This window comes from Homo sapiens, chromosome 7 (genome assembly GCF_000001405.40).
Source record: "Homo sapiens chromosome 7, GRCh38.p14 Primary Assembly".
Lineage (NCBI taxonomy): Eukaryota > Metazoa > Chordata > Mammalia > Primates > Hominidae > Homo > Homo sapiens.
The window spans coordinates 41950173-41977078 of NC_000007.14; the positions used below are offsets into that span (position 1 = coordinate 41950173).

The following is a 26906-nucleotide window of genomic DNA, read 5'->3' on the forward strand; positions in this document are numbered from 1 at the left end:
TTCCAGCCCGAGAGGTACCTCTCAAACAATCCAGCCTCAGAGAATATACTGTGCTCTAATCCAGCCTCAGAGAATATACTCAGTCTCAAAAGTGACTCAAATGAATAAGCCTTTTTATGACTTAACCACAGACACAAGAGGCATCTCCAAAGGGGGCACAGAAAATGCAGCCCTCGTAATCCAAAGTCATGCCCAAAGATAACAGAAAGAAGGAAACCAAGTTGTCACAGGCATCGAAGGCAATGGTCAAGGAAAGGGCTTAGATTCGGACATCCCCTGAGAGGTGGCAATGGTGGGTAGGAGTGTAATGTGCCCTGTGTCTCAGGTTCCCTACTTGACCTCTAGACACTACCTCCAGACACAGATCTGGCAATTGACAACATTGACAGGTGGAAAACCAGAGAGAATGCCCTCTCTGATTTCTAAAGCCAAGCTCTCAGGACACTATCAGTGAGCAATACTGGCTTATAGGACCAGTACCTGGGTTCTGCCCTATCATTCACTTTCTTATAACAAATAATACTTTAAAATATTACAATATTTAAAAGCAATATTTATAAGCAATATTGGCTTATAGGAGCAATACTTGGGTTCTGCCCTATCATTCACTTTCTTATAACAAACAGTACTTTTAAACAGCACAACACAAAACAGAGCAGAGACACCATTGCTATCTATAACAGGGGTCTCAACAGCCAAAGACCTAGTTCTAACCAAAAGCATTCTCCTGTAAATCTAAATTTTGAAAAAGACAGGGAGAGACTCATACTACCCTTGCTGGGCTGGACCCTGAACAGAAATCTTAGGTTCTGACTGGTGAGAAAGCATCTTTCATCCGACTTGGTCATAGAGCGAGGAGTCCCAGCCACATCACCTTCATTGTCAGAACTGTCAGGAAGAAAACTTTTCCTCTACCATATTAGGTTTAAATGATTGGAAGCCTGCGAATTAACTGGCAATAGATATAGAAACAGGAGAAAAGACAAGGCTGATTACCTGCATGCAGGAGCACCCTGTAAAGAGTAACTCACTGTCTAGCCAGAGGTACAGGTTTATGCAGCAGCTTAGCAAAAGGGAGAGTTTAGAGCTTTAAAGGCAGGAAGGTTCTGATGAGGCTTAACACAATTTCCTTTTTGGAATGTCATGGTGCCTAAGTCAGTCACCATCCTGACCTCTGCAGATTTGTATGGGGGATTGTGGTGGCAGCTGAGTCTCTTAAAGCTCTGCTTAAATCAGATAAGGTAAGTTCAGATAAGATTTCTTTCTGTGTCTGTTGTTGAGTTTTTGATCCCTTCATAAGGAAAGAGAAAACAGAACCTAGCCAGCTTTGCAGCTATGAGGTGGGAAAAGCAGTTCAATCTCCTGATTCCCCACCACTGGTCCTCCCTTTCCCTCAGCCACTGAAAAGTTTCTGAAGGATTTTTAATGAATGACATGGAAAAAATATTCATTAGCAAATGTATTATGTTATAAAACAGACCCAGAACTAGATCACAAAATATTATTTCTGGGTAATTGAATGACAGGTGGCTTTTATTTTTTTTGATGCCTTACTCTATTTTCCACAAAGAGTATGTAGTCATTCTTTTTTTTTTTTTTTTTTTGAGACAGAGTCTCACTCTGTCACCCAGGCTGGAGTGCAGTGGTGCGATCTCGGCTCACTGCAAGCTCCACCTCCTGGGTTCATGCCATTCTCCTGCCTCAGCCTCCTGAGTAGCTGGGACTACAGGTGCCCGCCACCACGCCTGGCTAATTTTTTTGTATTTTGTTTAGTAGAGACGGGGTTTCACCATGTTAGCCAGGATGGTCTGGATCTCCTGACCTCGTGATCCTCCCATCTCGGCCTCCCAAAGTGCTGGGATTACAGGCGTGAGCTACCATGCCTGGCGTATTCATTCTATAATAAGTAAATGAATAGGCATTTTTCTGAAAAAAAAATGCGTTAAAAAAAGACATAGCAAACATAGCAAACATAGTAAACATAGCAAAATATTGAGTGTCTGTCTTTGCACAGAACTATATGTTTCTCCTCACCAGACTTATCACTGGGTCACATTCTTGAATGCTGTGGAAGATAATTTATCTTAAATTCAAAATACTTGAAGCATCTAAACAATAAATTTTGTGATAAAATAATTGTTCAGAAATATCACCCCTGAGGCTGTGCACGGTGGCAAGTGCGGGTAATCCTGGCAACTCAGGAGGCTAAGGTGGGAGGGTCACTAGAGGCCAGGAGTTGGAGACTAGCCTGGGCAACATAGCAAGACCCTATCCTAAAAAAGTTTCTTTTTTAATTAAAAAAAATAAATGATTACCCATTTTCAAAACCATGCCAATAAAATAATTGAAGACAAATTTGCTACAGGGTTCTATGTGGTGAAATATGGATTGCCTTTGACCTCAAGTCTTACTGCAGTGAAAAGAGGTGTGAATCTTACAGTCTGGTGAGGTTTCAGAGTGGGTCTGGATTGTGCAAATATATTTGTTGAGTGTAGACACACACACACACACACACACACACACACACACGCATATCCAGGGCAAGTATTCCTTATCCAAAATATTTGGGACCAGAAGTGTTTCAAATTTCAGATTTTTCTGGATTTTGAAATATTTGCATATCCATACTGAGACATCTTGGGAATGGGACTCAAGTCTAAAGACAAAATTCATTTATGTTTCATATATACCTTATACATATAGTTTGAAGGTAATTTTATAAGATATTTTTAATAGTTTTGTGTGCCCATCACATGAGGTCAGGTATAGAATTTTCCACTTCTGGTGTCAGGTTGGCAGTCAAAAAGTTTCAGATTTTGGAGCATTTCAAATTTGGGATTTTCAAATTGAGGTGCTCAATTTGTATTATAGCTATATACACACATAGATATATATAAAAAAACAGACTTAGAACTAGATCACAAAATGGTATTTTTGAATGGGCAAATGACAGTTGGCTTTTATTCTTTTTTTTTTTTTAATTTTTTTTTGAGACAGAGTCTCGCTGTGTCACCCAGTCTGGAGTGCATTGGCGCAATCTCGGCTTGCCGCAACCTCTGACTCCCGGGTTCAAGAGATTTTTCTGCCTCAGCCTCCCAAGTAGCTGGGACTACAGGTGCCGGCCACCACGCCCAGCTAATTTTTGTATTTTTTTAGTAGAGATGGGGTTTCACTATGCTGGCCAGGCTGGTCTTGAACTCCTGACCTCATGATCTGCCCACCTCAGCCTCCCAAAGTTCAGGAATTACAGGCTTGAGCCACCGCACCTGGCCTATTTTTTAATTTTTATATCACATATAGGTATGATAACAAAATATCTTTTAAAAATGGTTGTCCTTTTTTGTTAATTTGGTATTAAATATAAATTCTAGAATTCCTGTCAGGAGCCGATTATACATTGGACATTGGAGTAAAATACCATGTCCAGTGCTTGCTTCTTTGGACTTTTGATTGCTACAAGGTTGGATGAATGAAGATACGTTCATAGTGTTCTGTTCTCACATCCTAACACACAGTGCACAAATCTGTCTGCCTTTGGTTTCAGAACTAACAGCAGGTGGATGGGCTGGAGAGTATAGGCCTCAATGCACCCCTTTGCGAGGGCTTCTGGCTCCCAGGAGCTGTCCCTCTTCCTGCATATTGTGGGCCTTCTTTCCTGCAATTCAGTCCTGTGCAGTCCCTGTCAGGGTGAGGGAAAAGAACGAACAACAACACAAACTTTCACTGAACACTTACTGGGTGCTGAATATGCTCGGCATTTTATATCGACAATCTCAAGTCCTCTTTTCCAGATGAGAACTTTGAAGCTACAAGGAATGAATACATTGAACATCTAGTTATTGGAGAAAGTGCTGGGGCTCTGTCCAAATGTCAGCCCAGGTCAGCTCTTCTCCAGTAACCTGGGACTCCACAGCTCTAGGCATGTCTTACTCTCATCTCTTTTTCTTTCTTAGTCCTAGACTGGTTTATTTCCAAGGAGATGCCACTGTTGTATAAGAAGAAATTTGACTGAGGCCTTTTTCCCTGGTTCCTGGTAGGGAGATGCTAAAACCCTTGGAATTTCTCCAGTGATAGGAGTGTCTTTGTTATTATGAGACCCTTGGATCGCACCTGAGTTTTTTCTAATGAGGTAACTCATGGTGGCTTCTAGATGGCTTCAAGATGGGGTTGGTCACAAGAAAGACCAACCATACGATTGAAGGGCTGGGACAGTGGGCCAAGCCTGACTCCTGGAGAGGGGAAGGGGGCTGGAGATGGAATTTAATCGTGTGGCCAATGATTTAATTAATTATGCCAACATAATTCAGCCCCAGTAAAACCTCTGGACCCCGAGAGTCAGTGGAGTGTCCTGGTTGATGAAGATATTGATCTGCCCACAGGGAGAAAGACCCTGGCTCCATAAGGAGAGGGCACGGAAGCTCTGGGTTCAAGGCCCTCCCAGACCTCACCCTATGCATCTCCCCATTTGGCTGTCCCTGAGTTGTAGTCTTTATAATAAAAGTTTAATAACAAGGGTGGTGCTTTTCTGAATTCTGTGAATGGTTCCAAAGAATTATCAACCTGAGGGGGTTAGGGAAACCTCTGAATTTGTAGCCAGTTGGTCAGAAGTATGAACGGCCCTGGGAACCCCCTCAACTTCTGGCTGGCATCTGAAGTCGGGACTGTCTTGTGGAGGACTGAGCTCTTAATTCATGGGGTCTACGCTGACACCAGCCTCCACATAGTTGATGCCAGAACTGAATTGCAGAATTGAATCCAGCCAGTTGGGTTGGTGTCAGAGCACCACCTTTTCTTTACCCTTTTTGTACTCCTTCTCAGGAGTGGAAACCCTGTGACTGAATGAAGCTAAAATTCTAGTACACAGGGCTGGTAAGGCTGGATTAAAATCAACTTGTTTTCCAAAGCCTTCCTTTTGGCTCAGTGTTAAATCTACTTGATTTAGGATAGCCTCAGAATGCATTTCAAAAAAGTTGGAATCATCACCCTGTTGGAAGCTGCCGGGTGTTCAGCTGGAACAGTGGGAAATCATATTACCTTGTCTAAAACTGCAGAGCTAGTGAAGAAACTCTGGGTCAAGGGAATCCAAGGAAAGTCTGTTCCTTGACCTTCGGTCTTGCAGGTCAGCAGAATGTTCTTCTCCCCTTTGCCTTGAAGGCTCTGAGAGAGTGTTGTTACTGTCCTGTAGATGAGGCAGAGGTGGGTGAGAAAGGGTCTGGGCTATTATCTCAATTCAAAAGACACATTTATCTAAGCTCAAAGGGGAAGGAGCTTGGATTGTATCTTTGGTTTTTGTTCTTTGCATGAACTTCAGAAGAAATACTTATCATATTTCATGACTTCATCTTTGGACAGATGTGGATCAAATGGAAGGTGTCTCGGGGACCTGGGTTCATAAAGCAGTGAGTTTCTGAAGAGCATCAGGGCTAAGAATGGCTGAGCAATAAATCTGTAACTTACAGTCACCCCAGAGAGCCTGAGATATCCAAGGCATGAGAGAAAGAAGTCTCTTATTTAGGAGAATATAGCCAATCCTTGAGCTATGACATACACACTGGGCTTTTTTGTTTGTTCTTCAGCCAATACAATTTTTCTTGCCTACCCAGTTTGCCGCTTAATAAAAAATTCTCTCTGGGCAATGCATCTAGGTATATTTTGGATAAATATTTGGGGGCGTCAGAATCATCTTCAAATGAAAATGTAAGCATTTCTTGTCTTGGCTCACTGGGGATAGCAGCCACAGCCTTCTTATCTTGGTAGTAAGTGAGGCAGCTCAGTTCCTTTTCTTCTTCCCCCAGGGCCCTGGCCTGTCTCCAGCTCTGCGCCTCAGCGGGGGAGGAAGAGAAGGGAGGTAGCTGGCTGCTTGTCTCCAAACAGCAACGGAATGCCTTGGCCTGGCTGTTCAGTAATCCCCTGCCAGCTGGCTGCCTCCCTTTCCTCTGGGAACTCAGTGAATCACACCTCCGCAGCGCGTTTGGCTCTTGCAAGCCCTGAAGGGCTGGAGGCTTGTGCCTGCCAGCTCCGAGGAGCTGCAGCCCAACTTCTGAGCATGGATCATGTCGGGACCCTGGAATTTCTGAGCACAGGAGGCTTTCCAGCTGCAGGGGAAGAACACTCATCTGGAGGCACTGCAGGATTCAAAGTGGGTTGGGCTGTTCACAGGGAGGGGGCGAGCGCTTTTTCTTTCCCCATCTTTTCTTAGGGACCCTTCCAGGAGCAGAGGTTTTTGCGTGTAGGGAAGCAAAGTAGGAGAAGAGTGCTTAGTCCTCTTCCTGTATCTGCTCCATGATGACCTCAGATAAGGTAAACCTTGCATATGCTCTCCAGCCATCAGTCAGGGCATGAGCAGAGCCCCAGGACGGTTGCACCATGTCCCACGTATGACCAAATGCGTATTTGGAGTTTTTATTTCAATAGTTCAGGAACAGGCATACAGAAGGGAGGTAACTGCTGAGATGTCCCTTCTACCGCTGGCGTAGAAGCATGCATTCTAAAACTGGATCTTTTTCAAAGGTAGGGATGTGATCAGGTTTTAGCTTCTTCCAATTGGAGTGACTAGAGGGTCTTTCTTTAGATGGGGTAGGAGGACAAAGGCCGAAGCGGCGCAGGAAGAGAGCAAAGCCAATCCATCCATGCACATTCTCCTATCCAGGCATGCTAAATGCTTCCTGAAGTTAACAGCAAGCCTCGGTTCCAAACGGAGGGCCCCAGGGTGAGGCTGGCCAGCTCTTCGGCACTGCAGTGCTCCTTCTAGTCGGGTTAGCAGACTTGCCAGGCCACTTCTCAGCCACAGGCTGGGAAGTCTCAAGTAGGAGAAGGGAAACCAGGAGCAAGAGGGAAGTGTGAGCTGAGCCCCACAGAGCCGCGGCAGGGTGGGAAGTCGAGGTACCTGTGAGGAAATTAACCTGGTACTTCATTACAATATTCCTGTAGAGTGAAAGGAAAAAAACTAGGTCCATGCCCTGCTCACGGGGAATTCCACATACAGTTCCCTCCTTACTTGGTGAAGAGCTGGTGATGGCAAGTCCTGCTTCTTGGCCCCAGTTCTCCCCAGCATCCCACCTCTGTGGTCACGGTCTTCCTTTGCAGGGGTCAGGCTGGAACCGGCCTCCTGGGGGCTGGGAGGAAGCTGAGGGAAGAGTGCATCATTCCTGACCTCTGCAGCCCCTCCCTTGCCCACTCTCCTGCTTTCTTCCTGCAGGGAGGGAGGAGGAACTTGCAGAATGGGAGGGGGGTCTGGCCGCTTGAGGAACCCAGCAGCAGGGCAGCTGTGGGCCCCATGAGAGTCCGAGGGCACCCCAACCACCTCCAGTCCTTCTCCAGCACCCTCCTTGCATGCCACTCCTGTCATTGCCAAAGGGTGTTTTACAGAATTATTTTTCCTGAAAAGATCAAAATAATCTCCCCCCACCACCCCTGAGGCTTGCCCCCAGTCTATTCAACCCAGGTCCTGGAGGAACTCAGCAGTGGGCAGTGAAGCATGATCCTCGGGCTGATTCACGGGGTACTTCATGCTTCCTGCTCTACCTTCCAACCGCTTCTTCACTCCCCATTCAGTTCAGAGGCCCAGGTCAGGCTCAGCGGCCTTCCTGACACATTGCCAGATGGTCTTGTCTTCACAGGTCTAAGTCACCTTTGCATTCTCTGGGTTGCTTGACCTATGGCCATTCCAGCACATCAATCGGAGCTTCCCCTGGTCCTTACCCTTTGCCTCATCACTCAGGACAGGTATCTATCTCATGGGTCAAGGGAGTTGCCATGCCGGCTCTGTTCACTAGAACATCTACCTTGTCCATGCTGCTGCCTCTTTCCTATTGGCCAAGTAGCACAGCCAAGCCTCTTGCATGGAGGAGGAGAGAGAGAGGAAGAAAGAGGAACAGTTACAAGAAAAGTTCAACCTTTCCTACTCTCCACCCCTTCTTGATCCACTATCTCTTTCCTTTCCTTGGGAAATAATGTCTTTCATACTCTCCAAGGTATGCATTTTTTTTTTCCAATTTGGTAACTACTAAAATTGGAGCTTGCCTGTTAGAGGATGAAAAGCACCATGTCATAGTTTAATGGACAGTGCGTGTTCTTTCTTAGTGGGAACATGGAGTACCATGTGTCTTACTGTGGAAGGCGTCTCAGAGGGGGTGAAATGCAGTATGTGGCTTAAAAGAGGCCACTGCATTCCCCTTTTCTCATGTGCCACTTAATTCTCATCTGTTGTGTTCTAGTTTCTCTTCCCAACCACGCCACTGAAAAATACTTCCCTGCGGTCATCCAGGGTCTCCTAACTCTTAAAACCTGTCTTTTCCTGTCCATGTTTTACTTGATCTGGATGTTGTTTTTGATAGTATTAGCCTTCTAGAATCGGCCTCCGTGTTTCTAGAGCACACCCTCTCTGCTGCCTCTCCCACCCTCCCTTCCCTTCCCCTCCCCTCCCCTCCTCCCTTTCTTATGCAGGCCTTCTTGTCTCTTGGTCCCTGGGGCCAGTGATCCTCAAGATTTCTTCCTCAGTCCTCTACTCCTGCTACCCCTGTGCCTGGCAATGACACTCTTACCCTTTCTTCACCTGTCACCTGCAGACTAAAGGCTGCTGAGTCTGGGCGTGTACTGGGATCTCTCTCTGGGCCCCTGCCTGCAGAATATCTCTACTTGTATTTTCATTCCATAAACCAGGGGTTCTCAGTCTGCAGCGATGTCTCCCCACTGCCCCGTGTTGTCTGCAGATGTTTTTAGCTGTCACCACGTGGGGGAATGCTACTGGTATCTAGTGGGTACCGGCCAGGGACACCACTAAACATTCTATAGTACTTAAGACAGTGCCCTACAACAAAGAATTATCCAGCCCCAAATGCCAGTAGTAGAATGTCTAAGAAGCCCCACGATAGGCACTTCAGATGGACAGTGCCCCAAGCTGAACTTCCCCTTGAACATCTTCCATTATGAGTTGCCATTGCATCCTGTTTCCCTGTCTGCCTCTCCCACTGGGCTGGGAGCTCATGGATATGAACTGTGTTTTATTCATCTCCTCATCTCCAGTCCCTATAAGAGAATATGAATGGAATATTAGATACTCAGGCAGCAAGGTTGAATTAATGGAACATGTCATCACTGCCCTATGTCCCAGACAGTGCAAGGTCTCTGAAGGCAGGGGTCATGATAACCTACCACTGGGTGCTGAGGAAAGGTGGAAGCAGTGTGTGACATTTGAGATTTGGGGACGGGTGAGAAAAGTTGTAGAATGGAATTTCCATGGCTCTGCTGGGTGAGTGCTGGCCACAAAATGTATGCAAAGAAAAAAAAGCCTAAAAACAATTTAGACTCTATTACTGTTTTGAAAATTGTCAAGAGCTTGAATAACTAGGTAGAAAAGGCATGAACAAGGTCTATGTTAGTAAAATGAAATTTTAGAAAGTAAAGGCTAATATGAAAGGAAAGACGTGTTCAGATTATGTTTGGAATAGTAAATGTACTCTAAAGTCAAACCAAAAGGGAAGACTGCCAAGAAAATAAGTAGAAAACCTGGGAGGGGGAAAAAAAAAGGACAAATAAGACATTTTGGCAGTAGGTAAATTTTTGCTTCTCATTTTAGCATTCTATTATATTCTTGTTTGGGTAAGATATAATGTCTTTACATTCCCAAAATTACTTAAAGGAAATCTTTATGAAATAACAGATTGTAGCTCCACCTTTTTACCTCAAACTCTGCTTCCTTTGTATTTACTGTGCAAGAGGCATTTTTACAAACAAAGCTGTGAGCCCCATCCACCCCCAGCTCATGTGGATTGAAGGAGTGCACATCACCCACCTCGTTCCTGGGGGTGTCCCTTCCCTAAGTTTCCTTTCTCTTAGCCTCATTTCTCTCATTTCTTTTATTTTGATTTGGTACATGGCATGTCTCTTTGTGAGCTGACAGTTTATACCTGAGGCAGGGCATAAATTCATATTTTCCTTATTTTTTTCTGGATTCATTTGGATACCTTATATAAGGGATCTAGTTACAAAAGCAAAGCATCTTGGATTGGATGGGGGGAAATTCTCCCCGAGAATCAGGAAAGCATGAAGCATCCCTATGGCCAAAGAAACCCTGCTGGAGGACAGGGAACATACACCCCCCACAGGATATAAGGCCTGGGGAACACATGCTGTTGTACCTGTGTGTGTATACATGCATGTGTCCATCCTTGTAGCCTTGAGATACCCACAGCCAGGACTCCTGCCCTTCCCAGAAACAATTATCCTCAGCTGATGGCTCAAAAGACATGTACTACTACTTAGAAAGAGGAAGGGAAGGCTTTTGGAGTGGCTTACGGTAATCTGGAGAATAATATTGCACACTGACACAAGAAAAACATGGGAGACAATTTATTCTGGCTGAGGTCAGTTACTAAAAGCCACATAAAGTAGGCTTCTATCGTGTCAGATTTTCTGTTGACATGTGGTAGGGCATCTCTGAAATGAGAGGATAACATACAAAAGAGGGACAAATTAAGTTGTTAGACGTTAAACCCCATCACCATCCTTCCTCACTGAATTTAGAAAGCAATAATATAAAGAAACACAATAATTGTTGCAACTGGTGTGCCCCCCGGGTACACATCCTCAAAACACCATGAGCATGTATGTATTTGCATCTTATTCTCCAGTTTAGGGCTAAGGAATCTGGATCTCACAGCAAAAGTCCATTCATCTTCTACGTGAGGGGTCTGGATCCAGCTACAGGCTCTGGATGTTTTCAAAGAAAGCAATCTTTCCATTCAACTATGCATTTAATAAACAACCCAATAAAAATTTCCATACAAAGAATTTTTTATTGACATTGTAAGAAACATTTTTTTTTCTTTGTTACAAAAGGACTAAGTGGTTCTGAAAGCAAAGGTAGAGTTCATCTGTGGCTGGGCTGCAGCCCCTGGGCTTGAGGTGGGCGTGATCACGGGGAATGCAGGCTTGTCCGAGGAACGCCTGGGCCAGTCACATCTGAACGCTATGCCTACAATACTTAAATGTATTTACATGTGTTTCTTTTAAAAAAAGGATTACACATTTTATTTTTTAAAAAAATCTAAAAAAGGTGAAAAAAATGAACTTGTATTTTATTTTACATGTCTGCAGGATACACAAGGGTAACTTGTCAGAAGAGAACATCCTCCTATCAGTTCAAAACAACACATGAAACCAGGATACAAGACAGCCTCGACTCTGCTACCACCGTGCGCTCTCTGGCTGGTGCACACACAGCCTTGGAGTGCTGATTGGGCAACACCAACTGGTCCCTCTCATTGACAAGATTAACATAAAATAAGGCACATACATCGCAAGAATCAAAACTTTGTGGCTCAAGAGGAAGAGCCAATGTGTGAGGAGTTGGGAGGGGTTAACTTTTTCAGAAAAATAAAACAAAAATGGTTAGAAAACGTTTAACACAGACATTAAGCAGGAGTAGAATGTGTGAGCCTGCATGTTTTAGAAAAGGCAGGATGGTGACACTAGTGAGGCGGTCCTCTCGCTCTAAAATGCATAGGTTAGAGAAATGGAGAGAGGCTTGGAGGCTGGGGGTGAGTCTCAAGATATGAGATGCCTAGCCTACAGAGATCCCAAAAGGATGTCCCAAAAAGATGCTTCTAAGTGACCTCAAAAGACCTTCCTTCCACTGGACTGCCACAACAGATCACTGAAATTCTGGAGGAGTATACTTTCTTCTTCCTCCCTCCTCTCCTCTGTCCTTCTGAAATTTCCATATTGAGAGAAGCCAAACATTGAGCTGAAACTTGCATCTCCTGCAAATCTAAAAGCAGTAGAAAGGAAAGCAAATATAAAAAAAAAAAGAAATAAAAGAAGAATAGGGGAAACCCAGAAAATAACCTGAAACCATAGGAAAGAGCAGAAGCACAAGACAACAACAGTGGTGGGCCGGATCACTGTGCATCCCTCCAGGAAGGACAAAGCTGATACAGGAAATAATGGTAACTGAGAAATGGAGGTTGCATCCGAGAATACTACTGGAAGAGCCCTCTGATGGAGGAGGTCAGCATGGTCCCTTCCACCCAAGCTCCTTTCTTAGGAGGAGTGGAGAACACTCAGGCCCCATGCTTTGAAAACAAGAGTTGGAAAGGGATTGAACCAAACCATTAGAGCACACAAGATAAGACTGGAGATTTGGAGATTTGTGGAAAAGTGAGACTGGATCTCTGATTCTGTGACAACATTATGCCTTGTTTCAGAAACACAGAGAAAGTCTTGCTTTTTCAACTGAAAAGTGGTAGAGCCTCTACTTTCCTATGCTCAGATCAGTAGTTCTCTTTTGTTATGGGGCTGTTCCAAAGGAGACACATCCGTTAATTTCAAAGAAGACTTACATGGGGGAGAACAGCAGGCATGGAAGGGGAATTGCAGTGTCCCTCTGCTTGTCTCAGGAACATCTAGTTGAAAGCAAACCTAATAGTCTTAGCCAAAGTCCCCAGTGGCAAATCAACCTCCATGCGGAGATTCTTGGTCCAAATGAAAGAACATAAACATGAGAAAAGTGGGCTGGTCTTAACACTCTTTCTATTATCTAACACTTTATTTTACTTGATTTTGTCTTTCTACTGTAATTTAAATGGCAAGATTAAAGGGGAAAAGCCACATAATTGAATTATCAATCACTTGCAGTAAATCCAATTCCAGGGGTCAATGGGACAGAATACAGCAGGTAGCCTGAGGTGTTAATATTTTAACAGTTTATATAATTTTTTAAAGCAATATGCTGGAAAATCCATGTACTCTTTGTGCACACACAGTATGACTTTTATGTGTATCAAATGCACGTGGGGAGTAGCTGCACTTCAAAAATCTTTAAATGTTTTAATCCAAAACAAAAGTACAGATCCAGTCCACATTAAGGACTAACTGCATGTAACATTTAACTTCGTGAATGGATGCAGCATTCAATAGACAGGGTGTGAAAAAAGGCATCCACACAGCTACTAAACATCTTCCCTAGTGCTCTCAAATACTAAAAATGGCTGAAGCAATTTATTCCCACTATGTGGGCTTTCTCTTTTACAACTAAGTTTTATAAATCCCTCAAAATAAGGTATTTAGAATGGAAATCCTCCCTCACTATAGTGGAATTAATAAATGTTACTGATACAGCCGCTTGTGGGGTTGTTTAAATACCTATATACTTAGAGCTATATATAATCAATTCTCAGTTAAAATGGGAAAGAGATGGAACTAATCAACAAACACAGCAACTCATAAATATTCCCCCAACTAATTCTACCCAATTGCTTCAATCTACCATCTATCTAACTTCTTACCAGAACAGATAAAAGTAGCAATGTGGCTGAGTGTCACCAACTGTCCGTCCCTTCTCTCTAACTGCAGTGCGAAACAGCACTGAATGTTCATGAAGGTAGTGGGAGGAGAGGCAAATGTGATAACTGAGAATCGACCATACAGACATAGCCTCCCCCAAAGCACACTTACAGACATGAAGAGCTGAAAACCAAAACTGTGAGCGCCCATTTCATTTATAAGAGCCCCACGTTCCCATTTCTGTTTAACTGTGGAATGCCCTGAACTGAATTGGAGATGGGGGGAACATCAATATTCTGTCATCTATGCTACAGTGCACCCACAAAAGTTTCTTAAACTAGCTATCCATATTCTGATTCTTGTGCCCAATGTGGGAATTAAAATAAAAAACAGAAACCAAAACACAAAACAAAACACTGAGCACATGTAAAGGAGAATTTTAAAAGCTGGAAGTGTAACCCCTTGGTCACAAGCACACCAACTCCTATTTCCTTTGAGCAACAGCAAAACATGTCAAATCCTTTAATTTGACTGCTCTTCTAAAAGAAAGAAGAATATGCACATCACAAATTTACATCGGTTTACTAAAAAGGGGGCGGGGCTTACAGTTTTTTTTTTTTTTTTTAAAAAGAGGGTGGTTTGAGTGTAACAATACTGATTCAAAACTGAAATGGAAGACAGTTTCTCCCTAGAATACTTTAGGGTTTTTCAGAGTCCTTTTCCATAAAAGGAATATAATTGAAACACATCTCAGTTAGGTGAGATGAGATTGCTAAAATACATACAGAACTAAAAAAACAGCCAAAACAAAGTCAGTTTAATCTCTTCAACTCCTATTGATTTCCGTTGGTTGCAGTCTTTTTTTCCTAAAGCCTATTGCATAACTGCAAGGAATTTGCTTTCTTCCGCTAGGGAGGTCAGCAAAGAACTCATGTCCCCGATAGCCATGTTGGTGGTGCTCATGGACAGCGCTGGGAATGGGAGGGACGCCCGAGGCGTGGTGAGGCGGGAGGAGCTATGGGAAAGGTTCTGAATGATACTTGGGCTCAGGGCCCCCGACATCAGGCTGGAGTGGTCCCCATCGTCTATGATGGCATCGAAGTCAATCTGTACCCCTTCCAGGTCATGGCTGTCGAGGCTGTCCACTGTGCTTGTCACCTGATTAGCACCTGGGGAAAGTAACTCAGAGTTTTTGGCGCTGGTCCCCTGTAGCAGGCAGCTGGCGTCTGAAATAGAGAATGAACCAGCTTTCGTGTCTTGCTGACTGAAGCCCACGGTTTGGTCATAGAACTGACCAGAGTAATTCTGCAGATTAGAGCACAGCGGATGGGGCTGCCCTTTCATCTCCATCTTGATACCATTCACCCTGCAGGTCTGACTTGTGTCACTGAGCTGTCCTGACTGCAGAGCAAGGCTGTCCCTCGGCATAGCCTGGCGCCTGCTGCCCCCAAAGCTGGCACATGGCTGGTAGCCCCTGACAACTGCCAAGCTTGACGGCTGGCTGCCCATGCCGTGAGCCCCTGGCAGGCAGCTCTCTGGCCCTTGGTAGATGTTGATGTGTGAGGTAGCACTAATCTGCCCAAGCATCTGCTGACCGGGGCGGCCTGCCCCCGGGTGCTGCATGCTGTCGCCGAGGAGCTGGTGAGCCAGGTACCCCTGTCCCACTGGGTCCTGGTTCTGCATGCCATTCACCATGCTGCCAGCTGACTCATTTGGCGCTACCGGCAGGCCGAAATTCAGCTGGCCCCCGCTCCCTTGCATGGGGGTGCTCTTCAGCTTTGAGGCTTGAATCCCGGCACCACAGGCACCGTCGAGTGCACCAGGGGCCACTGGCTGCCTGTTGAGACAGTTCCCATACTGCGGGGCCTTACAGGGCTGTTCATGGAAGGCGTTTCCACTGGTGCCACTTCCGGGGCTGTTGTGGAGCATCAAGTGCTCTGGGCCACCGTAGGGGTTGCTGTTCTCCCCGAGGGTCTGATAGCCCCCAGCAGGCCCGCTCCTCAAGGGGTTCTGCGGGTGGACGACCATGCCGTTGCAGAACCCAAAGGCGCGAGTCTGCGGCACAGCGGGCCGCGGCCCACACTTGAGCTTGGAGGAGGACAGGTCGGCGCTTCCGGAGCTGACTTCGTTCCACTGAATGGGCAGGTCGGTTTTGCTGCCCTCGGGGCAGGGCTGCTCGAGGGCATGGAACTGCTGGCCAGCGTGGCTGTCTGGCAGCCCGGGCGCGTCAAAGTCACCGGGCCCGTGGGGCACTTTGCTGTCGTCCGGGAGGGCGCTGGGGAAGTGCTGCTCGTACCCTGCTTGGTTCTGGGAATTTAAATACTGCACCACGTCGTCCGGCAGGAAATCCTCATCGTTCAGGTTGGCATCAGCGTCCATGGTCAGGGACTCCAGGGTGACGTTCTCGGTGATGCTGGGAGGACAGGGGGACGAGTGGAAGTTTCGGGACTGGCCGCCCTCGGGCCGCGTGTAATTCTGAAGCACGAGACTGCGCTTCTCCGCGGACGTGGCCATCGCCGGGGGGTTGCAGCTGCTGAGGCTGCTGAAGCGCGGCACACGAGGCAGGGCCAGGCCCTCGGAGCCTGTCCGCACCGGGTCGCTGGCCCTCCTCACGCCGTGGCCCGGCGCATCGTGCGGCTGCAGGTGGCGCCGCCCGTAGCCGTGGGCTCCCCCGTCGCTGCACCTCCTCGGGGCATGAACTGGAGGCAGGGCCACGCCAGGCTCGAGGGCATCCCCGAGCAGCGCCAGGCGCGTCTTCAGGCTCATCCTCTCCATGTTGGGCAGGGGCGTCGGCGGCGGCCCTCCTGTGGCAGCCGCGTACTTGGCCTTGAGGCGGTACTGCTGGGCGGGCGTGAGGCTGAGCAGGCTGGGCAGGCCGTCGCTCTGGCTGGCTTCGCTGGAGCGGCGCGAGGCGTCGGTGGAGATGGGGTCGTAGGAGTCGGCCACGCTCACGTTCTGCGGCCGGCCCTCGGCCTGTGACGCCTCGCTGGAGCGGCGGCTGGAGAAGCAGGGCGAGATCCCTGAGGAGCGGCGGCTGCTCAGGTAGGCCGAGCTGATGGTGCTGGCGCTGCTGTCCCTTCTGTTGAGCATGTTCAGCATAGTGACGTCCACCCCAGAGAGGTCGCTTCTGCCCGGGAGAAGCGTCATGGGCCCACCCAAGCTGCAGGTGTTGTTGGACTGTGTGCCTGGAGACAGAGAAAGGGAGAGACCATGCGGAGATGAATTCCCTTCGAGCATGACTTACACCAGGCATGAGCAACCCTTTTCTGTAAAGGGCCAGCTAGGAACTATTTCTGGTGTCCCAGGCCACATTGCCTGCCTCACAACTACTCAGCTCTGCAGTGTAGCCCCAACACGGCCACAGAGAGCAGTGAGCAAGCAAGCGTGGCGGGGTGTCCATGAAGCTTCCTTTACAAAAACAGGGGCGGCTGGAGATGGCCGCAGGCTGTAGTTTGCTGATGCCTGGCTTAAACAAAACAATAACAACTCCCTCGATTCACTGAAGCCCCTCCCCAAGCGCTGTGCAAGGACAAAAAGAATCTTGTGATGGTACACAACGCTTGAGTTCCAGGCAAGTCCCCAGGCAAAGGTACTCCACGAGTTTCACATTCACGCTCAGGGCGTCCTGTTCATGCCACATCCTACCAACAGGTAACACCTGTGTTGGTGCAGGCAAGAGCTTCACCCCTTAGGTGCTCTCAGAAGTGTAATCTCAGAAGTGCAAACTGACCTGGGGACTGACAGTGGGGAGGGATTTCTGACTTTCCTTGAACTGGGTAAATATAAATAAAAGTGGCTGCTAACCTCGTGGTTTTAAATTTTGGAAACCAGAGACAGAGTTCCAACCACAGATGCCTCCACTGCTGGCATTCCCTTACCCTAATCTAACAGTTATGATTTCACCATCAGAATATGAGTCATGCACAGTCACATTTTTTTCTCAATATTATCCTGTTCCTAGCTGTTTTTAAAATATGGACAATCCCAAAAGGCAACTTGAATGGGCTAAACATTAACGGATGGTTACAGCGTCATTTTAGGACTGGTGGAGAAACTAGCAAACATAAAACTGAGGGCCTGCATTTAAAAGAACAGAAAAAAAAACCCTGAGCAGATGCATGGTCTGATGTAGAACTCACCATTTCCTATGAGAGGAGAGACCGCAGGGGCTTTAGGGGGTAGAATGGGGTTCAGTCGCGGAAACATTCCATTCACTTGTTTTAGCCTTTCTAGTTTTACGTGCTCCATCCATTTGGTCCCTGCCGGGTTTCTCCTGGCTTGCAAAGCAAGGGCTGTGGTTGCAGTGGAAATGGTTGAGTCCATGATTGGGGTTTCATCGATGGCACTGAGGTCTCCTATACTACCTCCATCGGTCAGAGGAAGCTCGAGCCCACTGTTGGAATAGTTGCTGATGGGGGACTGTTGGCTGCTGCATGAAGACTGACCACCAGGGCTTGGCTGAGATGTCTGTTGGGGTCAAGTGGAAAGGAAAGAAATGTCACCAGGGAGGGTCAAGGAAAGGGAGCCAATAATGAGAGCTCATGCATATCGAGATCTTCAAGATCATCAGTTGGTTGAATGAGAAGAAAAACTATGTTCTGGTGAATGGAGCTGGCCACTTTTGGCCAGAATGACGGATGGACCACCAGGCTGATGGGCAACAGGAGGCAATGGAAAGCAGAGAATGCTAGCTGCAGTGTGACTGGCATGGTATCAGCCATGGAATCCTGCCCCAATCGCCAACTCTGCAGACATACTTCCTCGGTTCCAATCCCATCTCCACCACTTTATTCTTTGGGCACATTACTTAGCCACTCTAAACCTCAGTTTCCTTATCTATAAAACAGGGACCATTTATTTCAGGGATTGTTGTGAGGAATTAAGTGTGAAGCCCAGAGAGCACACAAGTATAAAAAGACCTGGATAATAGCAATTGGTTCACAGGATGTTAGCAATTATTATGATCCCGGGTGGTTTTAGTCTTGAGGTTCATTTTGCTCAGCTGAAACATAAATGTAAGATATGCGCCATCAGCACACATTACCTCCTCCAACAAGAGCCCCTCTAGGCTGTTCAGGGCTGGTTAGCCAAGCTCTTTGTAACCTCTCCTCCCTCCTTCCACATTTTCTTGCTTTTGTAGAACCTCAACCAAGGTGTCAGTAAAAGCAGTTGAGAGAGGTAAAACTTCAATCACTTAGCTTGTGCTATACCAAGAAAGAAAGAAAGAAAGAAGAAAGAAAGAAAGAAAGAAAGAAAGAAGAAAGAAAGAAAGAAAGAAAGAAAGAAAGAAAGAAAGAAAGAAAGAAGGAAAGAAAGAAAGAAAGAAAGAAAGAAAGAAAGAAAGAAAGGCTGCAGATCACAGCCGTCATGAGTCTGTAGAATGATTTCACTGTTCTCCTTAGTGTACTCCCTAATAGTTCACTAGGAGGATTAGGAAATGATTCCCTAACCCCAACCGAGTAGACTCTATAAGACAATGCTGCAAACAATGGAATCTTAATCTAGTCCACCGTAGTCCTCAATCAGGGAAAGTACTGCCTCCTCTCGCTCCCAGGGCTCCTGGAAATTCAGGGTGCCCAATATCTGGGGATTACTATATAAAATGGCCTACAATGCACAGGACAGTCACACAGCACAGAATTGTTCCATCTCAAGTTCCAGCGGTGTCCTGGTTGATAAACAGTCGAATCCTTTTTGTACAGATAAGAAAAGTGATGTTCAGAGAAGTTTAGTGACTGCCCAAAGTCACAAAGTGAATGGTGCAACTAGCCTGGACTCCTAGGCCGGCTACTTCCATGCGTCTGCAGCGCCTTCACCAGTGTTACTATAAACACGGACAGCAGCCGAAAGGGAGAGTGCTTTAGGGAAAGATAACTACACTCACTCGGTTACAGAGTACTGTAGTCTCAGGTGGAATGCACAGTGCCACCAGGAAGGGCTCTTCGCAGTGGAACCCTTTCACTTCTTCTGCTATCATGGTACATACACCCAAGCAAATGAACACTTTCTAAGTGAGTGCTGCATGGTACACTAACTTTGTCCCGGGCAACCAAGCAGAGCCAAATAAGTTATACAAATTTGATCGTGAGTATGTGAAGCCTTGCTTAATTTTTGGCCTCAGCAGAGTGCTGGAGTGCCAGACCACCTGCTCCTTCCTGAGGTACTTGTTTCCAGAGTTTTGGATGTCTTTGACTCCTGGACTGTCAAATCAGAGTGTGTGCAGACATGAACTTGTGCATTTGTGCAAACACACAGGCAGACACACTTCATATAAGGCACAAATGCACTCACAATTAGGAAATTGCTTCAATGAGCGTCCACATTTAAATAGAGATTACATTGCTAACAACAAATAAAGCCAGATCTTCCTCAAAGAAGGTGGTGCACATCTGGTCTAAGGATGAATTTGCATTAGTCAGTACAATAATGAGTCTTTCAGAACATCTGCTTGGTAGGCCCCAGTGTGATTTGTTATGGAAACCTAGACAGATAGAACAATGAATTTCACCAACTAACTCCACATTTTTCACATGCTGAATGTTGAAAACACATTGCTTCTATATTTGAAACATATCTGAGTAATGTTCACTACCAAAAGTATCACAAAACCACAAAAACTAAAGAAAAATTAACAGAAAAAAGTAAATGTTAAAAAAATGAAAACAAAACAAAAAGGACAGAGAAGCCAAAATTCCCTCACCTTATTACCCACTGTCCTTAGGAAGTGAGAACAAGACATTTAGGAGCATTAGACAGAAGAGATGTTGCATTAATAAGAAAAAAGAAGAAAGAATTTAATTTATAGCATGATGATCAAATCAAAGACATGTTTTTTAAAGAAAACTAGAAATGTAAATTTCATGTTTATTAGTAAATGTCTGTGAAGATACCTACTTTTAAATGTGTGTGAGCATATACACACATAATATCTGCTGTGGAAATGTGATTAATTTATTAACCTCACTAAGCCTCAGCTTCCTCAAAATATGGGCATAGTCTTGATCTCCATGGTTTCTTTTAGTCCTATGGTTCTAGGTTGGTGCCAAAGTAACTGTGGGTTTTGCCATTAAAAGTAATGACAAGACCCACAATTACGTTGGCACCAACCTAATATGACTGAATTACTTTATGAAATATTTCACACATTGGGACATCTCAATGTTGCTGAGCCAAATCGCTGTAATTTTTATTTCTACCAATTTTCTTTTTAAACAATGGGTGTTTGAAGAGAAAATGACAATTTTCTTGAGCTAGGAATGTACACTAAAAGTAGAAGAGATTTTGGGTTCTTGGAATATCCCAAGAATATAAATCATCGGTTTCATGACATAATCTAAGACTGCAAATTAACTTTCTTTGTTTTGTTAAACACGTGAGGATAAACCGTTGAATGTTCTGTACAATTATTATACAGGTAGGCTTTATTTTAAGAATAGACATGTGCTCCCCTTCAAAAAAAGTATATAAAACACAGTTTATGAACTGATTAAAATACAGTGATCAACCATAATGTATAAACATCTTATTAAGATACTTTTTTAAAGCAAAGTACAGCTACCCACTGATAAATCATGATAAATCTGCATAGCTGATTTGTGTTATTTTTGGCTAGACTTAATGTCACTCTCTAAGACTCTTAAGAATTCAAAGACAAACTCAGTAAGTCATTAAAACATAGCTTCTCACCGTCTCAATGGTAAGATTGTGCATTATTTCCCACCCACACGTACTGTGACATCACTCATGAATTCATAGGCTCTCCATCCGATAGACTGCTCTAATTTTAAGAAAATGCTGGCTTTAAGTATAAATCTGTTTGCCTGATTGTTTCCGTGCATCCGGCAGTCTGAGCATGAAACTTCTCTCTGGTACACTTCCTTCACAGGTTAGAGAGTGACAGCCCAGAACCCAATATATTTGCACAATTAAATCCATTCTACGCATGGCCAGATGGGCTGAATCTCCTCTACTATACTATCTACTCTTAATTTTTCTTGTTGTCTTTGAAATTTTTAGGTGTTTTATAAAATCACATTCATGAAGCGAAGTCACGAACTGAGGTTTGAAAGAAGCTGAAAGAGTAGCAGAGCCCACATGTCCTATTAGTCTCCAAACACAAAGATTGCCTACTGAATCTTCCAGATCCCTCTCTCATGCTCTGCCTTACTGGTTCAGGCCCAACTGCAGAAGTGGTCTCCAGTTTACCCAGTTTCTAGACTGGTACTGGAGTGGTTTCCTCAAAAAACAAGAACAAAAAAACAAACAAAAAAACTCACCCCTGCTATGCTGTTCCCCTCCCACCCCTGTGCTCCTCTGCCTCCTCATCCTCCTCAGCTCTTCCCTCTGGAGCACTGAACTCCTGTCCCATGGCTTCCTCTGCCCCGACTGACCGGCAGTCCGTCCCTCTCCTGAATCCTCTTTACACAGACTTGTGTGTAAGCCTCCATCACACTGCACGGTATTTGTTTTTCAGTCTATCTATCCCACTGGACTGTAAACTCCTAAAGAATATGGGCCATGGCCTATTTACCTTGGGGTCACCAGGGCAAAGAAGACAGAAAGCATGTTTACAGGAAGAGTCAATGAATGATTTTCGACATTACAGACACGCTGGAGAGACAGACAGTCGTGTCTTTCTTCCTTCCATGGCACAGTGGTATGGTTCTGGGAGGGATTTTAAAAATCAGTTAGGAAACCTGGAAACTCTTTTTCTGAGCTGATCGACTTCACGTAAGCAATACGGGTCACTGCCCTCATCGCCTCCTCAGATCAGAGACAGCCTGACACAGTGAGGACCGGGAAGTCCTGTCCCTCTATGCACCCTACCTGGCTCTTTTAAATGGGCCTGCTGTGAAGTCAGAAGGAGAGTGAATGACATACCATTGGCTTCTCTGCCTTGACGGTTTTCACCTGGAGGCATTCTTCCCGCTTTGAGGTAGTGTTGCTGAGGTCCTGCTGCTCACCAAGGGCTCCCTGAGTCGGTCGGCCAGGCGACCTGGACTGTGAATGGCTGCCGGAATCTCTCGGGGGTGGCGGCCGAGGATGGATGTCCCCTCGCTGCTTCTTGGTGACATGAGCCTCTGGGCCATGCACTGTCTTCACATGTTTCCGGAGGGAGCTTGGGTCTGTGTAACGCTTAGTGCAGCCTGGGATTTTGCACACATATGGTTTCTGCCAAATCCCACAAGAACGAGGTAAGAGATTGTTATGAAAGAGACTATGCCCCAGCCCAAAAGTCCTTTATGGTTGCTCATTACATTTTTAATCCTTTCAAAACACTTTCACAAGGCTTTGAGGTGTTCAGATACCTCTAGGAACTAATAGTTTAATAAGGCCATTAGAACACTGTTCCGTGTCCATAGAATTTAGCTTTAATAGATTATGGCTTGAGAGAGAGGCTCAGGGAGAACTAAGAATGTGTAAATTGCCTTGATGTTCTTGGAAGCATTTACACTGTGAGTGAGAAGTATCACGGTGCCATAATAGGCACTCAATAGATATTTGATGATGATGATGATGATGATGACGATGACTATGAAGATGGCTTAAAAGACACCCATCATCTAATCAGGAGAAGACTGCACACCTTTCAGAAGAGATTGTGTGACAAAGTTTTTTATGGATGTCCTGGTTGTGAGATCTAATATCACTCTGATCCTTTTGAAAATGTGCTATTTATGCACAGGCATAATTTAAAAATTGCCGATGGCATCTCCCATGTTAGATGACACTAAAATGTGCTCCTTTGGGTAGCATTACAAGTGTGGGGATGTTCAGGGCTCAAAATAGCCAGAACCTTTCTGCTCTTTGAAGTTGGAAAGCCCTGTTACAGACTGTCCATGAATCCTCATCATAAACTGCAGAGGGCTGACGGATGTTCTGGGGACCAGGATTTCTGGTCTGTTTTCTTCTCCTCAGTGAATTTATAACTAAGGTCTATAAATTATTTCATGCTAATTTCATTTTCTATGTGGGTCAGTGATCAAGCCTAAGGATACAGTCATAAAAAATTATGCGGATGCTTATATAAGCGGATTATTTTCTGAAATCACAGAACTGCTGACCTTTGGCTCATGACCAACATCGGATTTGTGAGTTTGTTCACTTGGCTTAAAATATAATATACGCAAGAATGCTTTCATGAATATATATTTATATCTATGTATAGCAGAGGATGAGCTTTTACGTAAGCAAGCGTCATGAAAAGCAGGATTACTATAATGTACCTATTATATTTAAAAGGATGCCGTGTCTTGTAGAATGTATGTCTAAAAGATGCTTTTTCACTAAAAGCCCAAGAACAGACTGAGTGCTACCTAAAATGCTGAAATGTCCTAATGCAGTGAAGCAAAGATCCTGAAACTGAGAGGTTTCACCTCCAAACCTGAGACTCCTTTGGGCAGAATTGATTCCCATTAACTATGAATTACATCTATTCAGGAGCTTGTGTGATTTGCAGCATATATATATATAATAAGATGAGCACATCAAATTCTATGCATTAGGGACAAAAGACTGGCTCTGATAATTAGTGCCATTACCTTACAGTGTTCTGACACAGGCCCTATGCTTGCTCACAGCATTCCTGTGACAGGTTGTTCCATCAACAGGCAGACTGGGATATATGGGGCAGAGGTATGGAGACCAGAAGGAGAGAGGGAGCACAAAGCCTGCATGTTTGGAGAGCTACTCTTCCTGTAAATATATGGATGTACATTATGGGTTAGCTTAGAACCAAGGACGCAGCCAATATGTAATGAGATACAAATGTGTCGGCTCCTGCACTTCCAGAAACAACAGCCCATACAGGTGCACCTGTGCCCGTGTGCCCTTGTGTGTGAACATACACATTATCTACCCACAAAAATTCACAAATTCACAAGAATACAGGTTCAGGAAATGTATACCTCACAACAACATAACATAAACAAAATATATTAACCCTTCACACAACTTTTGCCCACAAATTTTGTTGTGATCAGTGACTGAAATAAAATATAATTAGAGACTAAGAAAAATGTTCTCAGACTTACTGAAGTGCAAGATTCTGCAAGCACAAAGTTGCATACAACAAAATTTAATCATAAGGAATACAAAATCTGATAGGAAAAATAAGAAGATGCAATGATCTGTAATATAAAGTGTGAAAGCTATGTAAGGATATAGACAGAGGAGGGATCATTTTTCAGCTAGGATAATCATGGGAGGCATCAGTTATTAAGATTCTATATCTGGGCTTAATGCCCAGCTCACGGGATTATCAGTAAGTGCTAAATTAGATCATGTACATGAAGTGCTTACCAGGATGCATGGAACATAGTAAGCACTCAATATACAGAGCTTTTATTAGGAGTCATTTTACTTGGGATGCCAAAAAGAAGTGTCCTCAGCAAAGGTCCAGTGGCAGAACCACTTCATGCACCTAAGCATGGCAGTGCACAGCACCAGCTTCTGGAAGGTTTCATTCATGGTCATGATAGTGAGAGGTCAGGACTAGAGGGATGAGCTTGGGCCCTGTGAGAACTGACACTTACACAACCTTAGGGAGTCTCAAGTCTCCCTATAGGAAAGAGGGAGCCATTGCAGCTTTCTAGAGAGGGAGGTTCAACCGAATCAGAGCTCAGGAAACTTGTTTAGCGGTATCTTTGGGGGAAAAATGAGCTGTCTGATCTGGAGTAAGAAGTCCTGTCAGAGCTACGGTCAGTCTAGCAGCCCTAAATGAGCAGGACAGCCAGAGGAACAGAGAAGTGCCAGCAATTACTCCCTTCCCATTACAGTCCATTATTTTCTTGGCCACACTTAGAACAGCAAAGGGCTTGGCACATAAATAGCTTTAAGTATTTGTTCAATGAATAAATGAAGTTGCAAATAAGAGAGGAAATAAATGAAGGCAAATCACTTGATTCATCTAGGATTGTGAAATTGCACAAATCTGGATTTCCTGGACAAACTTAGTTTTGATGCGTCTGAAAATGTCCATCAGTCACACACAGGGCCAAAGTCTTGCATATAGAAGAGAGAAGTATAATTTGTTTGTAAATATGTCTGTGGGTAGAATTTTAATTATGTATTTATGATAAAAGTTAGTAATTTAAGTAAATTGCTCAAGTGTGGTCAATGACATTACTACCCAAGATATCCTTATCTTTTAATCTTATAACAAACACTCAACTCTCACACAACATTGCACTTTTTACCTTGGAGAAGAACACAAGCTCAACTACACCACAATTAAAGCAAACAGACATGTACAAATATTTTAGGTCCATAAAAAGACAAAAAAGCTTGGTAATTGTCTTTATATGTGTGCATTCTGATCCTAACATACCCTCTGTCCAAACTTCTCCATGATAATAGGAGACAGCATTGGCCTAACATCTATAGGAATGAATGCCCCCTAAATTTCTAGTCAAAATTACACTTAAATCTATGAAATATATGAAATACATTCTGTTAAGTCAAAACCCCTTAAAATTTTAAATTGAAATATAATTCACATGCCATAAAAATAATCCCTTTAAATTGCACAATTCAGTGGCATTAGTACATTCTAGACATTGTGTAATCATCACCATTACCTAATTCCAGAATATCTTCACCACCCCAACAAAAAAACCTTGTATCCATTAGCAGTCATCACTATTCCCTCTCCCCTCTGCTTTTGGCAACCACTGATCTACTTTCTATCTCTATGTATCTATCTATTCTAGACTCCCTAAAATTTTGTACAAAACAAGTGTAATAGATTATATTCCAGCTACTGCATACTGTAAAAGCATTTTTACATTAAAAATGGAGATGTGGCATCTTTAAAATGTCTTCAAACAGTTAGAAAATGAGATTCCGAATAACTCCAGTTTCCATGACCTTTTCACACAGAAAGTTGGTATATATATGAACTTACATGTGTGAGTTTATGAGTGAGTGTGCTTTTTACAGAGTGCAGTTAATCCCTTTAGAGATGTTTTTGCTCTGTCAGTTTCAGCTGAAGAAAACATGGTGAGAACCATCTTTGCCACCTTAAAGCCAAAAGTCCACTGAGCAGAATGGCTCACTTTGTTTCTATCAAGATTCTCTCTGCCCAGCTCTCTGTCTGAAAGATCATGAATGTGTTTGACCTGCACTGGTGAGATGAAATGACAGCCACTCCAGGGTCTCATGTGTGCACGATGTTCCTTCTCTAACACATTTCAAGCAAACTGATGACACGCTGTGGTGCTGAACTATGTCTCATGTTAACAAATTCTGGTTAGCTATCCTATTTCCACTCAAAATGTGGGGAGTCCTTTTGTTAATCTCTCAATACATTCAAGAGAAGATTTCACAGACAAGCCAGAATTTGAGCTAGACCTCCAAGGCCAAATTGGAAGTCTGTAGGAAGATGTTCACTAAAATGTAAGCAATGAATTTGGAATAATTTTTATTCTTATGCCTCTCTACAATTTAGGGGGGATCGCTACCTAAAAATAACAGTAACACAACAGGAATCACCCTGAAGCTTTACTCAATATGTTTTCTTAAGTAACTGCCTAGAAAGTATTCTGGGTTTCTGAGACCATTTTCCAAGATCCTTTGGAATTTAGAATGTCTGAAAATTGCATTTAGCCAAGGCTGGTTGCTCT

At 44.4% G+C, this 26906-nt stretch overlaps 1 protein-coding gene across 8 annotated transcripts in view; it reads right to left on the reverse strand.

The window, feature by feature from the left end:
• GLI3 (GLI family zinc finger 3) overlaps positions 10777-26906 on the reverse strand; it is a 303320-nt gene continuing 287190 nt past the window's right edge. For all 8 annotated transcript variants that reach the window (XM_047420208.1, XM_047420207.1, XM_047420205.1 and 5 more), the window contains 3 exons: positions 22165-22455; positions 17424-17751; positions 10777-16469 (listed from right to left, as the gene is read on the reverse strand). In XM_047420208.1, the coding sequence (XP_047276164.1) occupies positions 14158-16469; positions 17424-17751; positions 22165-22455 (2931 nt within the window). In that variant the 3' untranslated portion in view covers positions 10777-14157. The remainder of the gene's footprint in view (positions 16470-17423; positions 17752-22164; positions 22456-26906) is intronic.